Here is a 21,928-nt window from a genome sequence, read left to right as displayed (position 1 = left end):
TACATGCATGCCCACTTCTAGTACTTTTCCTAAAGGAAGTAACACAGCACATATGCGATACATAATGCTCACTGAAGTATTGTTCATTATGGGAAAATGAAATACATATATTATGGAATGAAAACTATTCAAGATATATTTACTACTAAGTAAAAAGCCTAATAAAGAGCAGTATGTATAATATGACCCCATGTAGATTAAAAATAGTTATACATTTATCTATGAATTTTTAATTGCATATATTTATTCAAGGTCTGGAAGGATCTACAACAGAGACATCATTAGTTATTTTTGGGGATAGGGACATGGTGGACATTTACTTTTTAACTTCACATAGTCATACACTGAAAAATTTGTAGATATATATATATATTGTTTTAAAATCAAGGAAATTAAAATATATTTTCTATTTTGAAAGAAATTAGAAACACATCTAAAACCATTACTGTCAAAATATTTAATACAACATTAAAATATAACTTGTTATGGCTATTCCATATAAGAATACCCCCAGAATTTGTGGCTTAACTTGTGAAATGGGTGATGAATTTCAAGAAGTCTTTGCTTCTTTTCTCACTGCCATTTGTAGTCAAAGGTCAACTGCTTAGTGACGGGGAACTTAGATTAGAAGTGAAGTCACTGGCCATGGAGGCCCATGGGAATCTAATCTGTGACCGCTGCTGCATTCATAGTATGCTAAAATCAGACATTTCTGAATGTTCTAGTTTCGATCACAAAGTTACATTCTCAAATAAAAGAGGCTAATACATCTAATCTCCATATATGGTTACAAAAGGAACCACTCTGGAAGAACAAAAAGGAAAACAGGAAAACAGCTCTCCCTGATTTTAATATTTTTGGCAATTTTAGGATTAAAATATTAGGTAAATAGGAAGTATATTTGCAAAAGTATTCTTCTAGCCTAGAAGGAACTCTTACTCTATATTTAGAGTATTAGCTGGGAAGGTAAAGTTGCCTTAAAGGTAGGGCCAAATTTTCCATCAAGATCTCATTGGAATATAACTCCCTGATGGCAGAGATTGCCTGTTTTTTTTTTTTTCTTTTCTTTCTTTTTTATTTTTCAGACAGGGTCTTGCTCTGTTGCCCAGGCTGGAGCACAGTGGCACAACTGCAGCCTTGGCTTCCTGGGCTCAAGCCATCCTCCCACCTAAGCGTGCTGATTAGCTGGGACCACAGGTGTGCACCACCACATCTGGCTAATTTTTTATTTTATTTTTTTGAAGAGATAGGGTCTCCCTATGTTGCCCAGGCTGGAATGTCTGTTTCATTAACTGCTATATTCCCAGTGCACAGAACAGTGCCTAGTACCTAGTAGGTATTTTTTTTTAAAGGATGATTGAAAGCATATATCTACTCTGAATAAGAAAGCAACTTTGGTAATCCCAGCACTTTGGGAGGCCGAGGCGGGCGGATCAAGAGGTCAGGAGATCGAGACCATCCTGGGTAACACAGTGAAACTCCATCTCTACTAAAACTACAAAAAATTAGCCAGGCGTGGTAGTGGGTACCTGTACTCCCAGCTACTTGGGAGGCTAAGGCAGGAGAATGGCACAAACCCTGGAGGCAGAGCTTGCAGTGAGCCGAGATTGAGCCACTGCACTCCAGCCTGCGCAACAGAGCGAGACTCCATCTCCAAAAAAAAAAAAAAAAAAAGAAAGCAAGTTTGTGTGTGTATGTGTGTGTGTGTGTGTGTGTGTGTGTTTTAAGAGACAGTGTCTTGTTACGTTGCCCAGGCTGGTCTCGAACTCCTGGGCTCAAGCGATCCTCTTATCTTGGCCTCCCAAAATACTGGCATTACAGGTGTGAGTCACCAAGGTTGGCCAGAAAGCAAGTTTTTAGCAAGTCAAGTCATGGATCCTCAATGTTGTGTCCTGATACTATAGTTACATAGAGGCAAATCAAATCTATTCAAGAATGAAACACAAGACCATGAGTGGTGGCTCACATTTTGTCAATCTCACTTCACAAGTGAGGGAACTGAGGTTTAAAGAACTGAAGTTGCCTGAGGGTGTACAGCTAGTTAGTGGTAGAATTATCTACACATATTCTTTCTACCTCTACCTCCAAAGCTATATATAGACATGTAATGACTGCAAGTTGAGTTAGAGATTAAACAGAAAGCACATTTTGCATTAGGTGATACATCTTCTAGAGGTAAGAGAAGAGGTAAGACTGGTAACAGTCGGTAATTGTTCATTTATGGCAACTGCTATTTTCAGTCCAAACAAGAAAATTCCACCAAAAACATTGCCAATTAAAGACAATTTAGCCAAATCCAAAAGAAAACACTTTATAGCTCGATTTAAAATGTAACTTATTTCAGCCATCTGGTTTGTTACAAGGATTAGCATATCTTTGCCTATTAACTGTGAAAGGTGCTAGTAAAATGTTCACTACTGATAGAAAAATCCCTGAGTATTTAAAACTTATATTTGTATTATTCTTAAAGAATATATTCTATTCATTTACATGGACTTATTTGCCATAATTTATTTAATAAATACCCTTATTAATGGACCCTAATGCTTTCCTCTTGTTGCTTTTAAACAACACTGAAATAAATATTCTTGCTCATTAGTCCAATTTGTTCTTTAAGATTAAAAACCCAGGCCGGACATGGTGGCTCACACCTGTAATCCCAGCACTTTGGGAGGCCGAGGCGGGTGGATCATCTGAGGTCAGGAGTTTGAGACCAGCCTGGTCAACATGGTGAAACCTCATTCTCTACTAAAAATACAAAATTAGCCAGGCATGGTGGCATGCGCCTATAATTCCAGTTACTCAGGAGGCTGAGGCAGGAGAATCACTTGAACCCAGAAGGTGGAGGTTGCAGTGAGCTGAGATTGTGCCACTGCACTCCAGCCTGGGCAACATGAGCGAAACTCCGTCTCAAGGAAAAAAAAAAAAGGGTTAAAAACCCAAAAGTGGAATTGTTGGATCAAAAGGCATGTTCTTTAAAACTTCCAATAAACAGTTTATAGCCAGGTTTAAAAGGAAATCATACAAAGATAAATATTTAAAGTGATGATATTCTAATTACCCTGATTTGATCTTTATACATTAAATGTATCAAACTATAAAACATATCCTGAAAATATGCACATTATGTATCAATAAGATAAAAACAATAAATTAAAAAGGGAAATCAGTAATGCACAAAACTTTTCCAATAATGATAAAACATAATTTCAAGAAAATATTTTCTAATTTAGAATGCATTAAATATAAGTGATAAGATAGCAAGATATTTTAATTAAAGAAGCATTTTTTTTTTTTTTCCTAAGGCTCTACTTCAAAGTGCTGGCTATTCAACCAACTAATCTGAATAGGTATTTGGATGGTGAGGTAAAAGCTATTTTAAGGTCTGTTCTCATCTCACTTTAATAAGGTGAAAAAAATTGCCATATGTACTAAAAATAGTTCACTGTTCTGAAACTCAATGCCTGTTTGCCAAAACAATATTAATGATGCATATTCTATGCATTTTTTCCCCAAATATGGCATCTGCCGTGCACAAAATTCAGAATGGAAACCACGAGATATTTGAAATAACACCATCCTCTTACATGGTTAAAAAAGTCAAATGAATCCAGTTACTTTAATAAAATAGAATGTACTAAAATTAAGTATCTCAAACTTTTGTAACTCAATGTTTTAATTGGCCAAAAGGACTGTGAATCTAGTTTTAAATTTTATACTGGTATAGTCTAATGAAAGTTCTACTATGATAAACACATGCCACCAAATTTATTTGCCTAATTTCCCTATGTATAAAAGTGACTTGACAATATGGTGCTTTAAAACTCACTTTTCTTCTCTGACAACTGTAACAGAATTAACACAATAAACTACTTTGGGCAATTACTGGACTACTCATAAAATATAAGAAGATTCTACATTCACAAAAGTCATTAATTTTGTTTAAATCAAACTGAGATGCCAAAAATTAAGGAAATATTAAACATCATAAGAGATTTTAAAGGTACTGTAACCCCCAAAATAGAAGTGCAAGCATGTTTCACTTAAGTTGTATCACAAACGACTTACATTGTGTTTGATTAAAATTTGAGATCAAAGCTGAAATTAATGCTGGGAATGACAGAGATTGCAACAAATCTTTAATACCTAAAGAAACCTATATCAAGTACTAACATTCAAAAAACCATAAATATACATCCACTTAAAAAGACACATTCCAGTTACGATACCCTTCTTAAAACAGAAGTCTGATTATTTTATATATTATCTGATACTGTTACTGGCTTGCTATTTTGTGAGCTATAAGAAGTAAACTGATGGTTAAAATACTATAACCTTGAAAATATACACTAACCTTCATTATCCAAAAGAACTGTCAAAAAACATAGAAAAACAGAAAACAAACCTTTTGAAAGCTTTGTTTCTTCTACCGCTTTGGTTAGATGCCCTTCGACGATCAGCTTCTCTGCCAAGGAAAATAAACGTTACCATCCAAGCCCAAACTGAGCAGCATTTCCCTGAGCTGGGCAGTGTAACACATTCCATGACCAAATTTAAAGATGATAACATTACTCCTATGACCAAGCTTGAATAAAAACTTGAATCTGGAAGGGGAACTAAGAGAACTGGAACTATGACGGAGCAATCACGTTAATGCAGAAAACTAGGGGCAGGCAGACAATTTGCCTTTTATTTTCACCTTATTTTAAAAGCCTAGATATTTTTATAAAAAGGGCTCAGAAGAAATAAAGCAATCCTCTTTAGATCAAGGCTATTAAGTTAAAATAAAAGATTTATGAAAAGGTATTTATTCAAATGAAGAAGTAATAAAAATTAAGTTATATCGATAGTTTACTGTTCTCTGCTGACATAATTCAGCAGAGATGCCTATATAATGTATTTCAGTAAATGAATCATTTTAGAAAAGCTATTCAAAGAAATAAAAAAATTTTGTTTTGTTTTATGGGGGATTTTCTGTAAATGTATAATGCTACTTTTTTATAATTTAAAGTCATATTTTCATATTCCACGTTTCATTGAAGAGGATATATCTATTCTGTGTCCCCTTATTTACTCCTGTATGTCAGTTGGTCTCCTTCAATTTATTCATTTGTAATATATGTGAAGAAAATTTTCTATTCTCTTGCTTTACAACCAACTGCAACTTGGTCTACATCCACCACTCAACCATTGAAACTGCTCCAATATCATTATAGCCTCTAGTCTCCCAATGCCCATGGCTCCTTTTCTTAATTTTCATTTCTCATAGGCTCTTTGCAGTATGTGGCACTTTGTCTCTGACTTTTTAAAATCAGAAAGAGGGGCCGTGCGCAGTGGCTCACGCCTGTAATCCCAGCACTTTGGGAGGCCAAGGCGGGTGGATCACGAGGTCAGGAGACAGAGACCATCCTGGCTAACATGATGAAACCCTGTCTCTACTGGAAACACAAAAAATTAGCTGGGCATGGTGGCGGGTGCCTGTAGTCCCAGCTACTCGGGAGGCTGAGGCAGGAGAATGGTGTGAACCCAGGAGGCGGAGCTTGCAGTGAGCAGAGATGGCGCCACTGTATGACAGAGCGAGATTCCATCTCAAAAAAAAACAGAAAAAAAGAAAAAAAAACAGAAAGTAACAGATTTTGATTAAGATGTATAATGTAAGCTGTCCTACCTGTCCTCTGTCCTACTTCACTCCATTCCTAAAATTCACTTCCTACAACTTTTAGCCATTTCTTCTGATACTTACATTTATATTTCTAAATAATACATTGATTTTATTTTTCCATTTTAGATATTTATTGAGAATCTATTTTACACGGTTAAATTTTGCCATTTTCTACTACCATCCTCAAGAGTTGCATTTTGTCAATCTATAATCACTATTTTTTTTTTTTTGAGACAGTCTCACTCTGTCACCAGGCTGGAGTGCAGTGACACAATCTCAGCTCACTGCAACCTCTGCCTCCCGGGTTCAAATGATTCTCCTGCCTCGGCCTCCCAAGTAGCTGGGACTATGAGTGCGCACCACCACACCCAGCTAATTTTTGTATTTTTAGTAGAGACGGGGTTTCACCATGTTGGCCAGGATGATCTTGATCTCTTGACCTCCACCCGCCTCAGCCTCCCAAAGTGCTAGGATTACAGGCATGAGCCACTGCGCCTGGCCTATAATCAGTATTTATATTGAAAAATTATTTTATATAATGAGTCATATAGTATGCTATAATTATATTTCCTTTCTTGTATGGCCTTCGGTATACTCAGAATTTATAATGCTTCATTTTTTTGTTTTATTAATTTTTATATATCTCAAACATAGCCCAAGTTCTCACAGAACCATACAACTTTCAATATTGTCAAACACACCAAGTAATTTATCACATCATATATCCCCACCTTCCTCTTTCTGTTTTCTTATAACATATCCTCTTATAATTTCCTGAAAAGGGGTGGACAGAAGGTAAATACTTTGTGATTTTGCTTCTCTGAAAATGTTAGCATTCTACCTTCACATGTGATTGATGCTTTGACTAGATACACAAATCTACAGGAAATACTTTTGCATCAGAATTTTGAAAGCATTATTCCACTGTCTTCTAGCTTCCAACCAGAAGGTGAGTCTAATACAGCTTGAATCCTGTTCCTCAGTACACATAGTAGGGATTTCTTGCACTCAGTAATATCTGGTTTGCCTGTTCTGTTTGGGCATCAGGGAGGACTGCACATCCCAACTCCCTAGCACTGAGGAAGATTCATAGGACTGATGCTAGCCAGGGCCAAAGCATTTAAGAGAAAGTTTAAGTTTTTTACACCTTATCCCACCACAGGAACTCTAGAAGCTGTGTGTTGAGACAGCAACATCATAAGATAGTAAAGACTCCATCTGTCTAGATCTCTGAGTGACAATATGGAGCAGAGTGGTCTTCCTCACCATGGACATGTAGTGTGAATGAGAAATAAATGTTTGTTTAGTTGAGCCATTAAGATTTCATGGCTTGGCTGGGCATGGTGGCTCATGCCTGTAATGCCAGCACTTTGGGAGGCCGAGGTTGGCGGATCACCTGAGGTCAGGAGTTCGAGACCAGCCTGACCAACATGGAGAAACCCCAAAATTAGCTGGATGTGGTGGCGCATGTCTGTAATCCCAGCTACTCAGGAGGCTGAGGCAGGAGAACCGTTTGAACCCAGGAAGCGGAGATTGAGGTGAGCTGAGATGACACCATTGCACTTCAGCCTGGGCAACAAGAGTGAAACTCAAAAAAAAAAAAAAAAATCTCATGGCTTATTTATTACTATATTATAAATTTAGCTTATTATGACTATATGATATCCTTTGTTTCTCTCTAGAAGGTTTCGGAATCTTCTCTTTATTCCTGGTGCTCTTAAATTTCATATTCCTCAGTGTGTAGTCTCTTTTTTCTCTTTTTTTTCCTTAAATGAGGTGAAATTCACATAACATAAAACAACTATATGAACAATGCTGTAGAATTTAGTATATTCACTATGTTGTGCCTAGTTCCAAAACATTTTCATTACCCAACAAAAACCCTATACCCATTAAGCATTTATTCCCCACCTCCACCTCACCGGTCCCTGGCAGTCCCACATCTGCTTGCTATCTCTATGGATTTACCCGTTCTAGATATTTCATATAAATAAAACAATATAACACATGACATTCTGTGTCTGGCTTAGTGTGTGGTCATTTAAAATATATTGTGCTAAGTACTCGGTGCATTTTTTTTTTCAGTTTATAAGCTCGTATCTGTCACTTCTGGGGAATTATCTTGTATTCTACTTAATTGGTAAATTATTCCATTCTCTCTCTCCCCCTTATTCTCCCCCTCTGGAATTCATTATTAATATATTAGATCTCTAGGATTAAACCTCAAATTTTCTTTAATTTTCCCTCTTGAAAAAAAAAAAAACCTCTTGCCTTTTTCTTATATTTTCTGGGACATTTCCTCTACCTTCTCCTCAATCTTCCTACAGTTTTTAAAAATCTGGTATCATATTTTTAGCTTTCAAAAATTCTATTTGCATTTTGCTCCTTTAAAAAATACCATCTTTATCTTGCTTCATCCATAAAACTTCAAAAATTATACTTTTAAGCTGGGTGCAGTGGCTCATGCCTGTAATCCCAGCACATTGGGAGGCCAAAGTGGGTAGATAACCTGAGGTCAGGAGTTCGAGACCAGCCTGGCCAACATGGTGAAAACCCGGTTCTACTAAAAATACAAAAATTAGCCAGGTGGCGGGCACCTGTAATCCCAGCTACTCAGGAGGCTGAGGCAGGAGAATTGCTTCAACCTGGGTGGCAGAGGTTGCAGTGAGCTGAGATCATGCCACTGCACTCCAGCCTGGGCAACAGAGCGAGACTCCATCTCAAAAAAAAAAAAAAATTATATCTTTAAAAAAGTTTCTGCTTCTTGGGCGCATTGGCTCATGCCTGTAATTCCAGCACTTTGGGAGGCCAAGGTGGGTGGATCACGAGGTCAGGAGTTCGAGACCAGCCTGACCAACATGGTGAAACCCCGTCTCTACTAAAAATACAAAAATTAGCTGGGCATGGTGATGCACGCCTGTAATCCCAGCTACTCAGGAGGCTGAGGCAGAAGAATCGCTTGAATCTGGGAGGCAGAGTTTACAGTGAGCCAAGATCGCACCACTGCACTCCAGCCTGGGCGACAGAGCAAGACTCTGTCTCAAAAAAAAAAAAAAAAAAAAAAAAAAAAAAGAACCAAAAACCGAAAAGCAAAACAACAATAACAACAACAACAAAAACAAGATGGCCGGGCGCGGTAGCTCATGCCTGTAATCCCAGCACTTTGGGAGGCCCAGGCGGGCGGATCACCTGAGGTCGGGAGTTTGAGACCAGCCTGACCAACGTGGAGAAACCCTGTCTCTACTAAAAACACAAATTTAGCCAGTCGTGGTGGTGGGTGCCTGTAATCCCAGCTACTCGGTAGGCTGACGCAGGAGAATCGCTTGAACCCGGGTGGTGGAGGTTGTGGTGAGCCGAGATCGCACCACTGCACTCTAGCCTGGGCGACAGAACAAGACTCTGTCTCAAAAAAAAAAAAAACACAAAAACAACAACAACAAAACAAAACAAAACAACAACAACAACAAACAAGCTGGCTGGGTGCAGTGGCTCACGCCTGTAATCTCAGCACTTTGGGAGGCCAAGGCGGGCATCACCTGAGGTCGGGAGTTCGAGACCAGACTGACCAACATGGAGAAACCTTGTCTCTACTAAAAATACAAATTTAGCCGGGCGTGGTGGTGGGTGCCTATAATCCCAGCTACTCAGGAGGCTGAGGCAGGAGAATTGCTTGAACCTGGGTGGTGGAGGTTGTGGTGAGCCGAGACTGTGCCATTGCACTCCAGCCTGGGCAACAAGAGCGAAACTCCGTTTCAAAAAAAAAAAAAAAAAATTTCTGCTTCTTACCTTTTTCCTATTTCTTCCCTACTCACATTTTTCTGTGTGTGTTTTTTTGTTTGTTTTTTGGTTTGATCTCTGTCTTTGTCAAGAAAGAATTTCCTCAAAAGTCTGATCTTGGCTTTCTCTTCATATTCAAGGGTGAGGCAATAAGAAGCTGACAAAGTCTTACATGCATTTGCAGGGCTTATTACACCCACTGGGCCACACAATGGCAGTTTGTTGGGAGACTTTTATTTTTTTATTTTATTTTTTTTTGAGACAAGGTCTGGCTCTATCACCCAGGCTGGAGTGCAGTGGCGTGATCTCTGCCCACTGCAATCTCCACCTTCTGGGCTCAAGCCATCCTCCCACCTCAGCCTCCCAAGTAGCTGGAACTACAGGTACACACCACCATGCCCGGCTGATTCTTTGCATTTTTTGTAGAGACGTGGTTTCGCCATGTTGCCCAAGCTGGTCTCGAACTCCTGAGCTCAAGCAATCTGCCCACCTTGGCCTCCCAAATTGCTATTTAAGTTATTTAAACACTTTGGGACAGTTTAAATATCAGTATCAATATGTGTTTCTCTTTGTCTGATTGGTTTCTCTGGAGTAGAGCCCTGCAGCTGCCTTTCTGGGGAATATAAGCCTGTTGACGAGCATTCTGATTCAGTACAGAGACTTTCATTTAACTCTCCCACTTTTCCCCAGTGAGATGCTCATACCTACCCCCTCAGACATATCTGAAATACCCCAGTCTACAGACTCTCCATTTCAGCCTCCAGAGAGCAAACCTTCAGTCTTTCTGAATAAAGAAAGAGATACTTGTCTGTCTGCATGGACAAGAATACAAAGTATCAGCCTGGTGTGGTGGCTCACGCCTATAATCCCAGCACATTGGGAGACCGAGGCAGGCAGATCGCTTGAGCCCAGGAGCTCGAAACCAGCCTGGGCAACATGACAAAACCCTGTCTCTACTAAAAATAGAAAAATTAACTGGGTGTGGTGACGTATGCCCTTAGTCTCAACTACTTGGGAGGCTGAGATGGGAGGATCGATACCTGCGAGGTTGTGGCTGCAGTGAGCCAAGATCATGCCACTGTACTACAGCCTAGGCAGCAGAGATCCTGTCTCAAAAAAAAAAAAAAAAGAAAGAAAAGAAAAAAGAAGAAGAAAAATAAGAAAATAGTTCAAATTATTCCTTATATAAACTTTTAATCCTGTTTTTAGCAACCATGCATTCCTGCCCTACCTGACAGGTATTAAGTGCCCCTTAGCCACAGTTTTAACTTGGTTTTCTGAAGTTTCCTTTACCCCATTGCAGGCCTTCAGAAAAGAGAAAGTGGAAACCCATATCTCTTACTACTCAATTGTATGTTTCACATTTTCCAAAATTTTGTTGGCATCTATTATCCACTGTAGTCTTCTCTCCCATTCTCTTGTGCTTGTGACTTATGCTTTTTATAATATTTTACTATGAATGGGTCCATTCACCGTATTTAATCAAGTTTACTGCCTCCCTTTGGAAACACTACTACTTTAACTTCTAGGATATCACTCACTCCTACTTTTATGTGCTTGTTCATTCCTTCCTTCTTAGGCTTTTATTGCCTTTCCCTTTCTCTGATTATAATCTAAATATGTGCATTAGCCTTTAAGATCTCTGTCAGCAACAACAACAACATTTTTTAATGGCTTTAACTACCTTGAGTAATTTCTAAATGTTGATGTTAAGTCTAGCATTCTTTGGCCCCAGGACCCTATTGTCCATTGTCCAACTACTTTCCAAACATCTTCACCCAGAAATACCACTGGGACTTAAATCTCACCATGTCTAAAACTGAAATTATCTTCTCTTCCTTTCTCCTAAATATGTTTGGAATCTCTCCTCACTAAGCCTCTATTCCTATCTCTCTTAAGGTATATTGCAACTATTCATTATGTCTACCTTGCCCAACTTACTATGAATTCCTTGAGGGAATATACTCATTCTTTCAAATATTTACTATGCACCAGGCACTCACTGTGGATTACCAAGATAAATGAGAGAAATATAGGAATTTAGGGTCTGGTGAAAGTAGAGAAGTTTTTTTTTTTAATAATTTAATTCCCAACACACTTCTGACACATAATAGTTGTTTGCAAATGCCTGTTACATGAACACAGCAGATAATAAAATAGTATAAACACAAATAGCTTTGAAAGCTATTCTAGTCTTTCTCTAGTATGTTGAAGATCTACATACTGACATGTTTAAAAATTATAAACACATATCAGAAGATTGTAATTTATTGCTCCAAACTCTCTCACCCTTAGAAAAAAATCTGAAGTTCCTATCATGGCCTACAAGGTCCCTTGAGATCTATCCCAGGGGTCAGTCAACTATACCCCCACAGGGCCAAATCCAACCTGCTGCCTGTTTAGCAAATAAAGTTTTATGAGAACACAGCCAGGTCCATTCATTTGCATATTGTCCATGGCTAATTTCCCTTATAATGGCAGAACTGAGTAGCTGCCAAGAGACCTTACAGCCTGCAAAGACTAAAATATTTACTATCTGGCCTTTTATTTTAAAAAGGTGTTTAAGTTCTTCTAAAACTCCAATCTCAGTCTTAGGGTTTCATATGGTTTTTATTTCACACACTTTCTCCAGACACACATACAACTCAGCTTAGTCCCATATCTGTTCAGCCACATTACTACCTTTATTGTTCCCTATCCCCTTACAGTCTTTGTTTTCTTCAGTGGACTCATCACTTCCTAACATATTAATTTTTTGGTTTATTATTTTTTGTCTCCTCAAGAGCTTGTAAACTCCATGAAGGCAAAGCCTTCTTTGTCTTACTCACTTCTAATAACCCCAACAGTTAAAATAATGCCTGGTACATACATGTTTAATTAATCTTTGTAGAATGAATCAATTGAGCATCTATGTTTAAAGGGATCAAAAGAAAAAATTATTTGAGTGTTTCCTCATCCTAAAAAAAGGATTAAATAATATATATAAAAAGTTTGAACAGTACTGGTTTATAAGTACTAAATAATGATTAGCTGCATTTATTTATTTATTTATTTATTTAAGATATGGCATCTTGCTACATTGACCAGGCTGGAGTACTGTGGCTTTTCACAGCATGATCACTGTGAACTGCAGCCTCTAACTCCCGGGCTCAAGCGATCCTCTGGCCTCAGCCTCCCAGTTGGTTGAGACTACAGGCATTAATCACTGCTCCTGGCTAATTAGCTGCTATTATCACCATTGAAATTATTTAAAGTTATATTTTCAAATCTTGTGAATCACTAGAGGCCTGTAAATAAAGAAAAAATATATTTTGGCCGGGTGCAGCAGCTCATGCCTGTAATCCCAGCACTTTGGGAGGCCGAGGTGGGCGCATCACGAGGTCAAGATCGAGACCATCCTGGCCAACACTGTGAAACCCTGTCTCTACTAAAAATACAAAAATTAGCCGGGCATAGTGGCACGTGCCTGTAGTCCCAGCTACTCGGGAGGCTGAGGCAGGAGAATCGCTTGAACCCAGGAGGTGGAGGTTGCAGTGAGCCGAGATCGCACCACTGCGCTCCAGCCTGGCGAACAGAGCAAGACTCCGTCTCAAAAAATAATAATAAATAAAAAATCTAGTTTAAAACAGTCTGTAACCACTGAGTCTCCAACTTGGTGTAGAGACCTCAATGCTTTGGGAGTCACAAGTGTAATACATACAATCGAGGTGAGATCAGAGATCTCTGCCTCTCACTTTACCCCTTCAGAGACTCAAGAAAGAATTTTCCTGTCATGATAACTGCAGGTCTTCAAAGACCTATCTAACTTGGTACAACTCAAAGAGCGATAGAGTAGAAGGCTTTCTTTCTTCTTTTTTAAAACTTTTTTTTTTTGAGATGGAGTCTCGCTCTGTCATCCAGGCTGGAGTACAGTGGCATTATCTCAGCTCACTGCAACCTCTGTCTCCTGGGTTCAAGTGATTCTCCTGCCTCAGCCTCCTGAGTAGCTGGGATTACAGGCGCGCGCCACCATGCCTGGCTAATTTTTGTATTTTTAGTAGACATGGGGTTTCATTCACCATGTTGCTCAGGCTGGTCTTGAACTCTTGACCTCGTTATCTGCCCACCTCGGCCTCCGAAAGTGCCGGGGTTACAGGCTTGAGCCACTGCGCCCAGCCCTAAAACTCTTTTTTTAAAAATTCTGAGACAAGGTCTCACTCCGTCACCCAGACTGGAGTGCAGTGTTGCAATTATGGCTCACTGCAGCCTCCCGCTCCAGGGCTCAAGCGATCCTCCCACCTCAGCCTCCCGGGCAGGTATGACTACAAGCATGTGCCACCATGCCCAGCTAATTTATTTTTATTTTTATTTTTGTAGAGACATGGTCTCACTGTGTTGGCCAGACTGGTCTCGAACTCCTGAACTCAAGCGATCCTCCCACCTTGGCCTCTTGAAGTAATACGATTACAGGCATAAGCCACTGTACATGGCCTTAAAACTCTCTTTTTTGAGCAATACTCTAGAGAGGTGATTATTCATTTTCCACCATTTTAAAACCATATTTATTATAAAAAATGACATACAAGTCTGGGCATGGTGGCTCATGCTTGTAATCCCCACACTTTGGGAGGCTGAGGCGGGCGGATCACCTGAGGTCAGGAGTTCGAGACCAGCCCGGCCAAAATGATGAAACCCCCATCTCTACCAAAAATACAAAAGTTAGCTGGGCGTGGTGGCATGCACCTGTAATCCCAGCTACTCAGGAGGCCGAGACAGGAGAATCACTTGAACCCGGGAGGCGGAGGTTGCAGTGAGCCAAGATCGTGCCATTGCACTCCAGCCTGGGCAACAAAGTGAGACTCAGTCTCAAGAACAAAACAAAACAAAACAAAACAAAACAAAACAAAACAAAACAAAAATGACATACAAAAAGGAACATAAAACACAAAGGTATAGGTTAATATATTTTCATAAAGCAAATATCTATGTGACTGCAGCCCAAGTCAGGAATAGAACCACCCCACCAATCCCTAAGGCCCTCCACAGGGAGGAAGCCCTTCCCTCCAATAAAAATCCCTTCCTCTCCCATAAAGGTAACTACTATTCTGTGTGCTTTTTATTTTTATTTTTTTTTTTTTGAGACAGAGTCTCACACTGTCTCCCTGGCTGGAGTGCAGTGGCATGATCTTGGCTCACTGCAACCTCCACCTCCTAGTTTCAAGCAATTCTCCTGCCTCAGCCTCCCATGAAGCTGGGATTACAGGTGCCCGCCACCCGCCACACATGCCCAGCTAATTTTTTGTATTTTTAGTACAGATGGGGTTTCACTATGTTGGCCAAGCTGGTCTCAAACTCCTGACCTCGTGATCCACCCACCTCGGCCTCCAAAAGTGCTGGGATTACAGGCATGAGCCACTGCGCCTGGCCTATCCTGACTTTCATGGTATTTAATTTCTTATATTTCTTTATAGTCACACTACCCAAATATACATGACCAAATAATATGATTTTAGTAGTTTTGAACTTTATATAAATGGAAAACCATATAGTGTGTCAGGCTTTTTTTCCGCCCAATATGCCCCAGTGTATTTGTCCATTTAATTACTGAGGGTCTTTTTGGCTGTTTCCAGTTTGGATCTAATGTGAATAATGCTGCTATGAACACTCTTGAATTTGTACCTGATGCACAGGCATCTCTGTAGGGAACCTACCAAGGAGTAGAACTGAGAGTATAATATGTTTGACATGTAAGTACCATCATCTAAGCATTTAGTCAGAAGACTATCAAATCTTGTCAAAGACTGAACAGAGAGAACCAAATTTACTTCTTGATTGACAGAAATAAATTATGTACTAACCATATTACTATGTGGCATAAAATTAAAAATGAGAAACAATACAAACAATACACTCAAAAGAAGTTCAAAGGAGGCTGAATATGGTGGCTCATGCCTGTAATCTCAATGCTTTGAAAGGCCAAATTGGGAGGATCACTTGAGCCCAGAAGTTTGAGACAGCTATGCCAAGATTGGATTGAGTTCTTAAAGCTAAAAAGCCATTTTCCTTACTTGACAGCTACAACTAATTGAAACTAAAGCAGAAGATAAACCCAAATAGCACAGACTATCTGATACTGATGTCAGTTTCCTAGGGATCTGAAACAAACTGATTGGAAGAGAGGAGGGAGTGAATATAAAAGAACCAGACAATCTGCTGCTGTAACTGCCAACCTGGAAAATATTTCTAAGTCTCAAAATTGGGTTTCATTAAGAAAATGCTATGACTGGGACATCAAAATAATGTTCTTGACACCAAATTTTTTAAATAGCATGCATACTGGTAATTATGCACAGCTTCTACACCTCTCCAACATGTTTTCTGCCTGCTAACTAATGTACATTTCAGTGTGTCATGCATTACTTAGAGCACTTAGTAAATACGATCTCAATTAATTTTCATAATTCTATGAGAGATACTGCCATCCCACTTTATAAATGAGGAAATCAAGGTTTAAAGAGGTAAATTTGCCCAGTATTGTCCACAATCATACTGCCAGTGAGAGAGTGCATCAGAATTCACATCAAGATCCCTCTGATTGAATTCTAAACATCATAAACAGAAATGAGTTAACATTACCTAAAAGATCACCAAGAGAAAATATGATGAAGAAACTGAGATTAGAATATCAATACACAAATTGTTATAATCGGTATTCAAACCAGAAAATTATTTCCCTTCTGAAATAATTAACAAAACAGAAATAGAGACATAGAACCTCATAGGAGAGGCTCTGTGAGGTTCCCAGTTTTAATAATACAGACTTTCATAAGGTTACTCATTTCTGCAGCAAAATTTAATCAGTTAAAGTAACTCTTGCTATAGAAGATGTTGTGCCTTTTCATAAAAACAGTTCCAGAAGCTATTTGTCCTAAAATTTAAGAAGGAGGCCGGGTGCAGTGGCTCATGCCTGTAATCCCAGCCCTTTGAGAGGCCAAGGCAGGTGGATCACCTGAGGTCAGGAGTTTGAGACCAGCCTGGCCAACATGGTGAAACCCCATCTTTACTAAAAATACATTAAAAAAAAAATTAGCCGGGTATGGTAGCGGGTGCCTGTAATCCTAGCTACTTGGGAGGCTGAGGCAGGAGAATTGCTCGAACCCAGGAGGTGGAGGTTGCAGTGAGTCGAGATCACGCCATTGCACTCCAGCCTGGGCAACGGAGCGAGACTCTGTTTAAAAAAAAAAAAAAAAAAAAAAGAAGGAAAAAAGCATTTAGAATTCAAAGATAGACTGAAAACAAAGTGAAAGGGACCAATTTCAAGAATATGGAAACAGATCTTTTTTAAAAAGCAACAGTACACATACCAAAACACCACTGGCATGTACTTAAGATTGTCACCTGGGCAGTTATAATGGGAGAAAATCTGGTAGATATGTTAGAAAGTGGGCTGACTAGGGAAATGATCAGTACAAACAACTCTCTAATACATCTTAGATTGAATAAACCACTCTGAGAATAAAAAAATAAAATTAGCAGCACCTAGCTGACACTCAGAGTTTTCCTATTACAGGGACATAACATATTACGAGCAGGGAAACACAATACATGTTTTCTATTATTTGCCATAAACTGCTTTGGCTTAGAGAAATAAAAGTTTACAAAATGAAAATCTAAAAATCTGTTTTGAGTAGAATACGTAATCAGAATACTGAGACTGTTCTGAGAGGCTGACCTCACAGAGTGATGAAAAATAAACATTCAGTCACATAAGCAACATCAATTCAATGCATTACTCCAAATAAGGCAATTTCTATGTGAGAGCAAAGCCCTAAGAGAAAGGAGGGAATGAGAAAAGCATATACAGATAGTGACTATAATTTTTCCTAGTTATGGGGGTGGGAGGCAGAGAGAAAGATTTTTCTGAAAATCAGGAAAAAAACAGTAAGACATAAAATATTAAACTAATAACAACAAAAAGTTAAGTCTCATAATAATAACAAACACGGATTAAGAATACATCCTCAGATCTCAGGTGTTAAAAAAAAAAAAGAATACAAAGGCATGAGGTCTACTTCAGGGCACTGATTAACTCTACCATTGAGAGAGATGCCCTTGGGGAGTGGGCAGTTTGTCTCTACAAAGTAGACCTCAGGAAAATTTCTCTGGCATCTGGCAATGATGCCTCTCTCCTCATTAGAACAGACAGTAGCAAAAGAAATCAAAGGGGCAGGCAGCAGTCCAGAGAAGGCTATCTCTCACTCTATGCCCACCAAGTGATGGCAGTTCTCCATGTCCTTTCACCCTTCATCTTTCCACCACGCGTACAAGTTAATCAAGTGACAGAGTTCATGGATATGTATGAAACAGATTTAGAGATACATTATTTCTTAATTTGGAAAACATCTTTAGCAGAACACAAAAAGTTTCAATGTATCCATTAAGTTTATACGGTAAACTTTAAGTAACTAAAATTTGCAGAGAACACTAAATGTGGAGTTTTGCCTAAACCAAGCTCATGTCTGAATCCCTGAAGAGGAAAATATTGCTGAAGCTTTTTTTAGCAAGTTTTACTGAAGTGACTTCCTAATTCTAGATTATATGTGGTAAAGATCTTTTAATAGAGAATATTTACTTTACAGTTCTGAAATTATGCAAAACATTATTTAAATCTCTGTTCAAAGTCCAATTTCTTTGTCTGGAATTTAAAGTTTTTCTTAGAAAAGAGAAGTTTTTCTTTAAAAAGTCTGTTTTACCATAAAAGGAAAACAAATTGAAATGTGTTTCAATTCATTTATTTTCTACAACTTTTAAATGGAAAGAGCCAACAACCAAATTGTTCTCTTATAGATTCATACACATAAACTGAAAAATCTGTCATCATATTAAAGACAGACATGGAAAACCTTATGGAAATAAATGATTTGCTTTCTAATTTTTAAAACACAAGGTGAATTATACTATAGAAGCACTAATAAATAATGAAGGCTAGGTATTTAACATTTGCTTTTTAAAAGACTGGAAACAAGAAATATGAAGCAGCACTGCACACAAATATTTACTTCATATTCAAAATTATAAATCAGTTCAAGATACCTATCAATGAAAATAATGGCAAAAAACCTTGTGTGAACTTGTTAATATGTAATCCAAAATTGTTTTAAAAGTGCTTGAGTATAAATTTACTTAAGATATTTGCTGAATTTGTCTTGCTTATAATATTAAAAATACTTATTAAACACAACAATTTTTACAATGGCAGCATGTCATAAAATGACAAAATGTCCCTTCTGACAAGTCAAACCAGAGTCAACCCTCACTTTCCCAACTCTGGTTACCCAAATTTAAGGAAACGAACAGATTTGGAAAGTTTTGAAATACCTCTGGAATCACCAATAACCAAATTCTTACTACTTGCTACCTGAAACTCAGAAACCAAACAGATTTCAATAGTAGGCCTCTCCTTAGCTACCTGAACTCATAGCCCAAACTTTCTCTGTTTGCACTCAGGGACCGAAAGGATTCAGATGTCTGGGAATACTTATTTTCTTTTGTTTTGTTGTTGTTTTTGTTTTCTGAGACAGGTCTTGCTCTGTAGCCCAGGCTGGAGTGCAATGGTGTGATCATGGTTCACTGCAGCCTCAACCTCATGGGTTTAAGCGATCCTCCTGCTTCAGACTCCTGAGTAGCTGGGACACAGGCATGTTATCACCATGGCCAGCTAATTTTTTGTAGAGATGGGGTCTCACTATGTTGCCCAGGGTGGCTGTAAATTCCTGGCTCAAGCAATCCTCCCACCTTTGCCTCCTGAAGTGCTGAGATTACAGGTATGAGCCACTGTGCCTGGTTTTTTTCGCTGTTCTTTGGTCCACCCTTTGTACACAAAAATGGGATTTTATATTTTGATTTTTTTCTTGTATGTAGGTACTACCTGTTTAGTATTTTCTCATGCTATTACACAGTCCTCATAAACATCATTTTAATAACTTTCTAACATTCCCACTGAAGGGATTTGGTGTAATTTATATAAATTCTGTGCTATCTCTGCATGTTTATTTGGTCCATTTTCCCCCAAAACTATGATGCAACAAAAATCTTCAAACACCTTTTGTATATTTAAAGCAAACTTTATTCTGTGTTACAAATATAGCTAAGTATTTTATACTATTTTAAGTGAAATGTTCAATAATAAAATAGACATTAAAAAGTAAAAAGCTTTTTTTTTTTTTTTGAGACAGAGTTTCGCTCTTGTTGCCCAGACTGGAGTGCAATGGCACAATCTCGGCTCACTGCAACCTCTATCTCCCAGGTTCAAGTGATTCTCCTGCCTCAGCCTCCCAAGTAGCTGAGACTACAGGCGCCCACCACCACGCCTGGCTAATTTTGTATTTTTAGTAGAGATGCGGTTTCAACATGTTGGTCAGGCTGGTCTTGAACTCCTGACCTCAAGTGATCCACCAGTCTCGGCCTCCCAAAGTGTTGGGATTACAGGCGTGAGCCACCTCACTGGCTTTTTTTTTTTTCTTTTTCCCCAAAGAGACGGAGTCTCAGTATGTTGCCTTAGGCTCGAGTGATTTTCCCACCTCAGCCTCCTGAGTAGCTGGGACTACCGGCAAAAAGTTGTTTTGTTTTAAGTAAGCCAGTAATAATAACAAAATAAAACAAGGATTTTTGCAAATTGTAACTGAGTAGACATTCTTTTGATAATTATCTGCTCTCATTAGGGTTCAAAATATAAATCTTAAAAGTTCAAAATAAAAATCTTTCTTCTAAAGATTTGTATTTTATTTTATTTTTTAGAGACGGGGATTTGCTCTGTTGCCTAGGTTAGAGTGCAGTGGCACAACTATAGCTCACTGGAGCCTTGAACTCCTGGGCTCAGGGGGTCCTCCCACCTTAGCTTCTTGAGTAGCTAGGGCTACATACATGTGCCATCACTCCCGGATAATTTTTTTGTTGTTGCTGTTGCTGAGACAGTCTCACTCTGTTGCCCAGGCCGGAGTGCAGTGGTGCGATCTTGGCTCGCTGCAACCTCCGTCTCCCAGGTTCAAGTGATTCTCCTGCTTCAGCCTCCTGAGTAGCTGGGATTACAGGCATGCATCACCACGCCCCAGCTAATTTTGTGTATTTTTAGTAGAGATGGGGTTTCACCATGTTGGCCAGGTTCGTCTCAAACTCCTGACCTCAAGTGATCAGCCCGCCTCAGCCTTCCAAAGTACTGGGATTATAGGCATAAGCCACAGCTCCCAGCCTCTCCTGGATAATTTTTTAAAGTTTTTTATAGGAACGGGTCTCACTATGTTGCCCAAGCTGGTCTTGATCTCCTGGCCTCAAGGGATCCTCCTGCCTAGGCCCATGAAAGAGCAGGATTACAGACGTGAGCCATAGCACCTGGCCTAAAGATTTGCATTTTAGATTAGATATTCTTTTAGTTGGTATCAGTGGACACCAATTATTTTGCCCCAGGACCCTGTGCCAATTTCCCATGAAAATGAGATTTAGTAATCAGAAGGTAACAAAAAGATGTACTAATCTTTGCTTTATAAATAGTTTTATTTATTTATTTTTTTACTTTTTAATTTTTTTTTGAGACGGAGTCTCACTCTGTCGCCTAGGCTGGAGTGCAGTGGCACAACCTCGGCTCACTGCAACCTCTGCCTCCCAGGTTCAAGCAATTCTCCTGCCTCAGACTCCCAAGTAGCTGGGATTATAGGCATGTGCTACCACCCCTGGCTAATTTTTGTATTATTAGTAGAGATGGGGTTTCACCATGTTGGCCAGGTTCATCTCAAACTCCTGACCTCAGGTGATCCACCCACCTCGGCCTCCCAAAGTGCTGGGATTACAGGCGTGAGCCACCATGCCCGGCCAAATATTGTTTTAAAAGGACAAAGAAATATGTCACATTTATTAAATAAATTGTCTCTAAGTAATACTCAACTTATACTTAATATTATAGTATCGAAACTGCAAAAACAGAAGCTCTGTGAAAACTATTAAATGAAATTCTCAGTTTCTTTGAAGGATCTCTAAGGAGTATAACATTTGATTTGTTGAATTTGTGTCTGTTTTAATTACCAGGTATGACCCATAGAACCCCCAAGCGCTCCTGAGGTAGTGGGGCAGGGTAGCGGGGGGCACATATGCATGAATATCCACAAAATGAAATTATGAGCATAAAAACTTGGGAAACCACATTTCCAAGAAAGGAGAGCAGAATGAGAAGAATGCCTGAGAAAGTATTTGCTTGATGGGAAAAACCGCAGACATTATCAACAAATCTTTACCACATACAATGACCTTTACTTAACAAAACCAAGAAAATATCATAACCTTGCAATTGTTACAGATTTAAGCAGCTTTTGTGACTTTCAAGTAAAAAGGAATTAATGACATCTTTGTTCAGAATTCAGCAGAGGTCTAAATCACTTCAAAAGCCAATTTATCGTTTTGTTTGTTTGTCTGTCTTTGGAGATACAGTCTTGCTCTTGTCATCCAGGCTGGAGTGCAGTG

At 39.0% G+C, this 21,928-nt stretch overlaps 1 protein-coding gene across 55 annotated transcripts in view, besides 2 other annotated features; it reads right to left on the bottom strand.

The window, feature by feature from the left end:
• SLMAP (sarcolemma associated protein) overlaps nucleotides 1–21,928 on the bottom strand; it is a 173,705-nt gene that overhangs the window by 35,508 nt on the left and 116,269 nt on the right. For 48 of the 55 annotated variants that reach the window (NR_165328.1, XM_005265456.5, XM_005265468.5 and 45 more), the window contains one exon: nucleotides 4,406–4,465. Coding sequence is in view for 47 of the 55 variants with exons in the window: in XM_005265456.5 (XP_005265513.1) it covers nucleotides 4,406–4,465 (60 nt within the window). In the remaining 8 variants the exon portion in view is untranslated. Of the gene's footprint in view, nucleotides 1–4,405; nucleotides 4,505–21,928 lie in introns of those variants that run through there. The other 7 variants (NM_001311178.2, NM_001304422.3, NM_001377927.1 and 4 more) reach the window with 1 other exon arrangement.
• Nucleotides 19,941–20,440: an enhancer, noted in NCBI's record as "NANOG-H3K4me1 hESC enhancer chr3:57859793-57860292 (GRCh37/hg19 assembly coordinates)". NCBI's record gives its function as "activates a minimal SCP1, AML or CMV promoter by ChIP-STARR-seq in primed H9 embryonic stem cells {active_cell/tissue: H9 hESC(primed)}" and the evidence as "EXISTENCE:reporter gene assay evidence [ECO:0000049][PMID:30033119]".
• Nucleotides 20,441–20,942: an enhancer, noted in NCBI's record as "NANOG-H3K4me1 hESC enhancer chr3:57859291-57859792 (GRCh37/hg19 assembly coordinates)". NCBI's record gives its function as "activates a minimal SCP1, AML or CMV promoter by ChIP-STARR-seq in primed H9 embryonic stem cells {active_cell/tissue: H9 hESC(primed)}" and the evidence as "EXISTENCE:reporter gene assay evidence [ECO:0000049][PMID:30033119]".

Source organism: Homo sapiens, chromosome 3 (assembly GCF_000001405.40).
Source record: "Homo sapiens chromosome 3, GRCh38.p14 Primary Assembly".
Lineage (NCBI taxonomy): Eukaryota > Metazoa > Chordata > Mammalia > Primates > Hominidae > Homo > Homo sapiens.
Note: the sequence above shows the minus strand (reverse complement) of the source record. Positions and strands in the feature narration are given on the sequence as shown.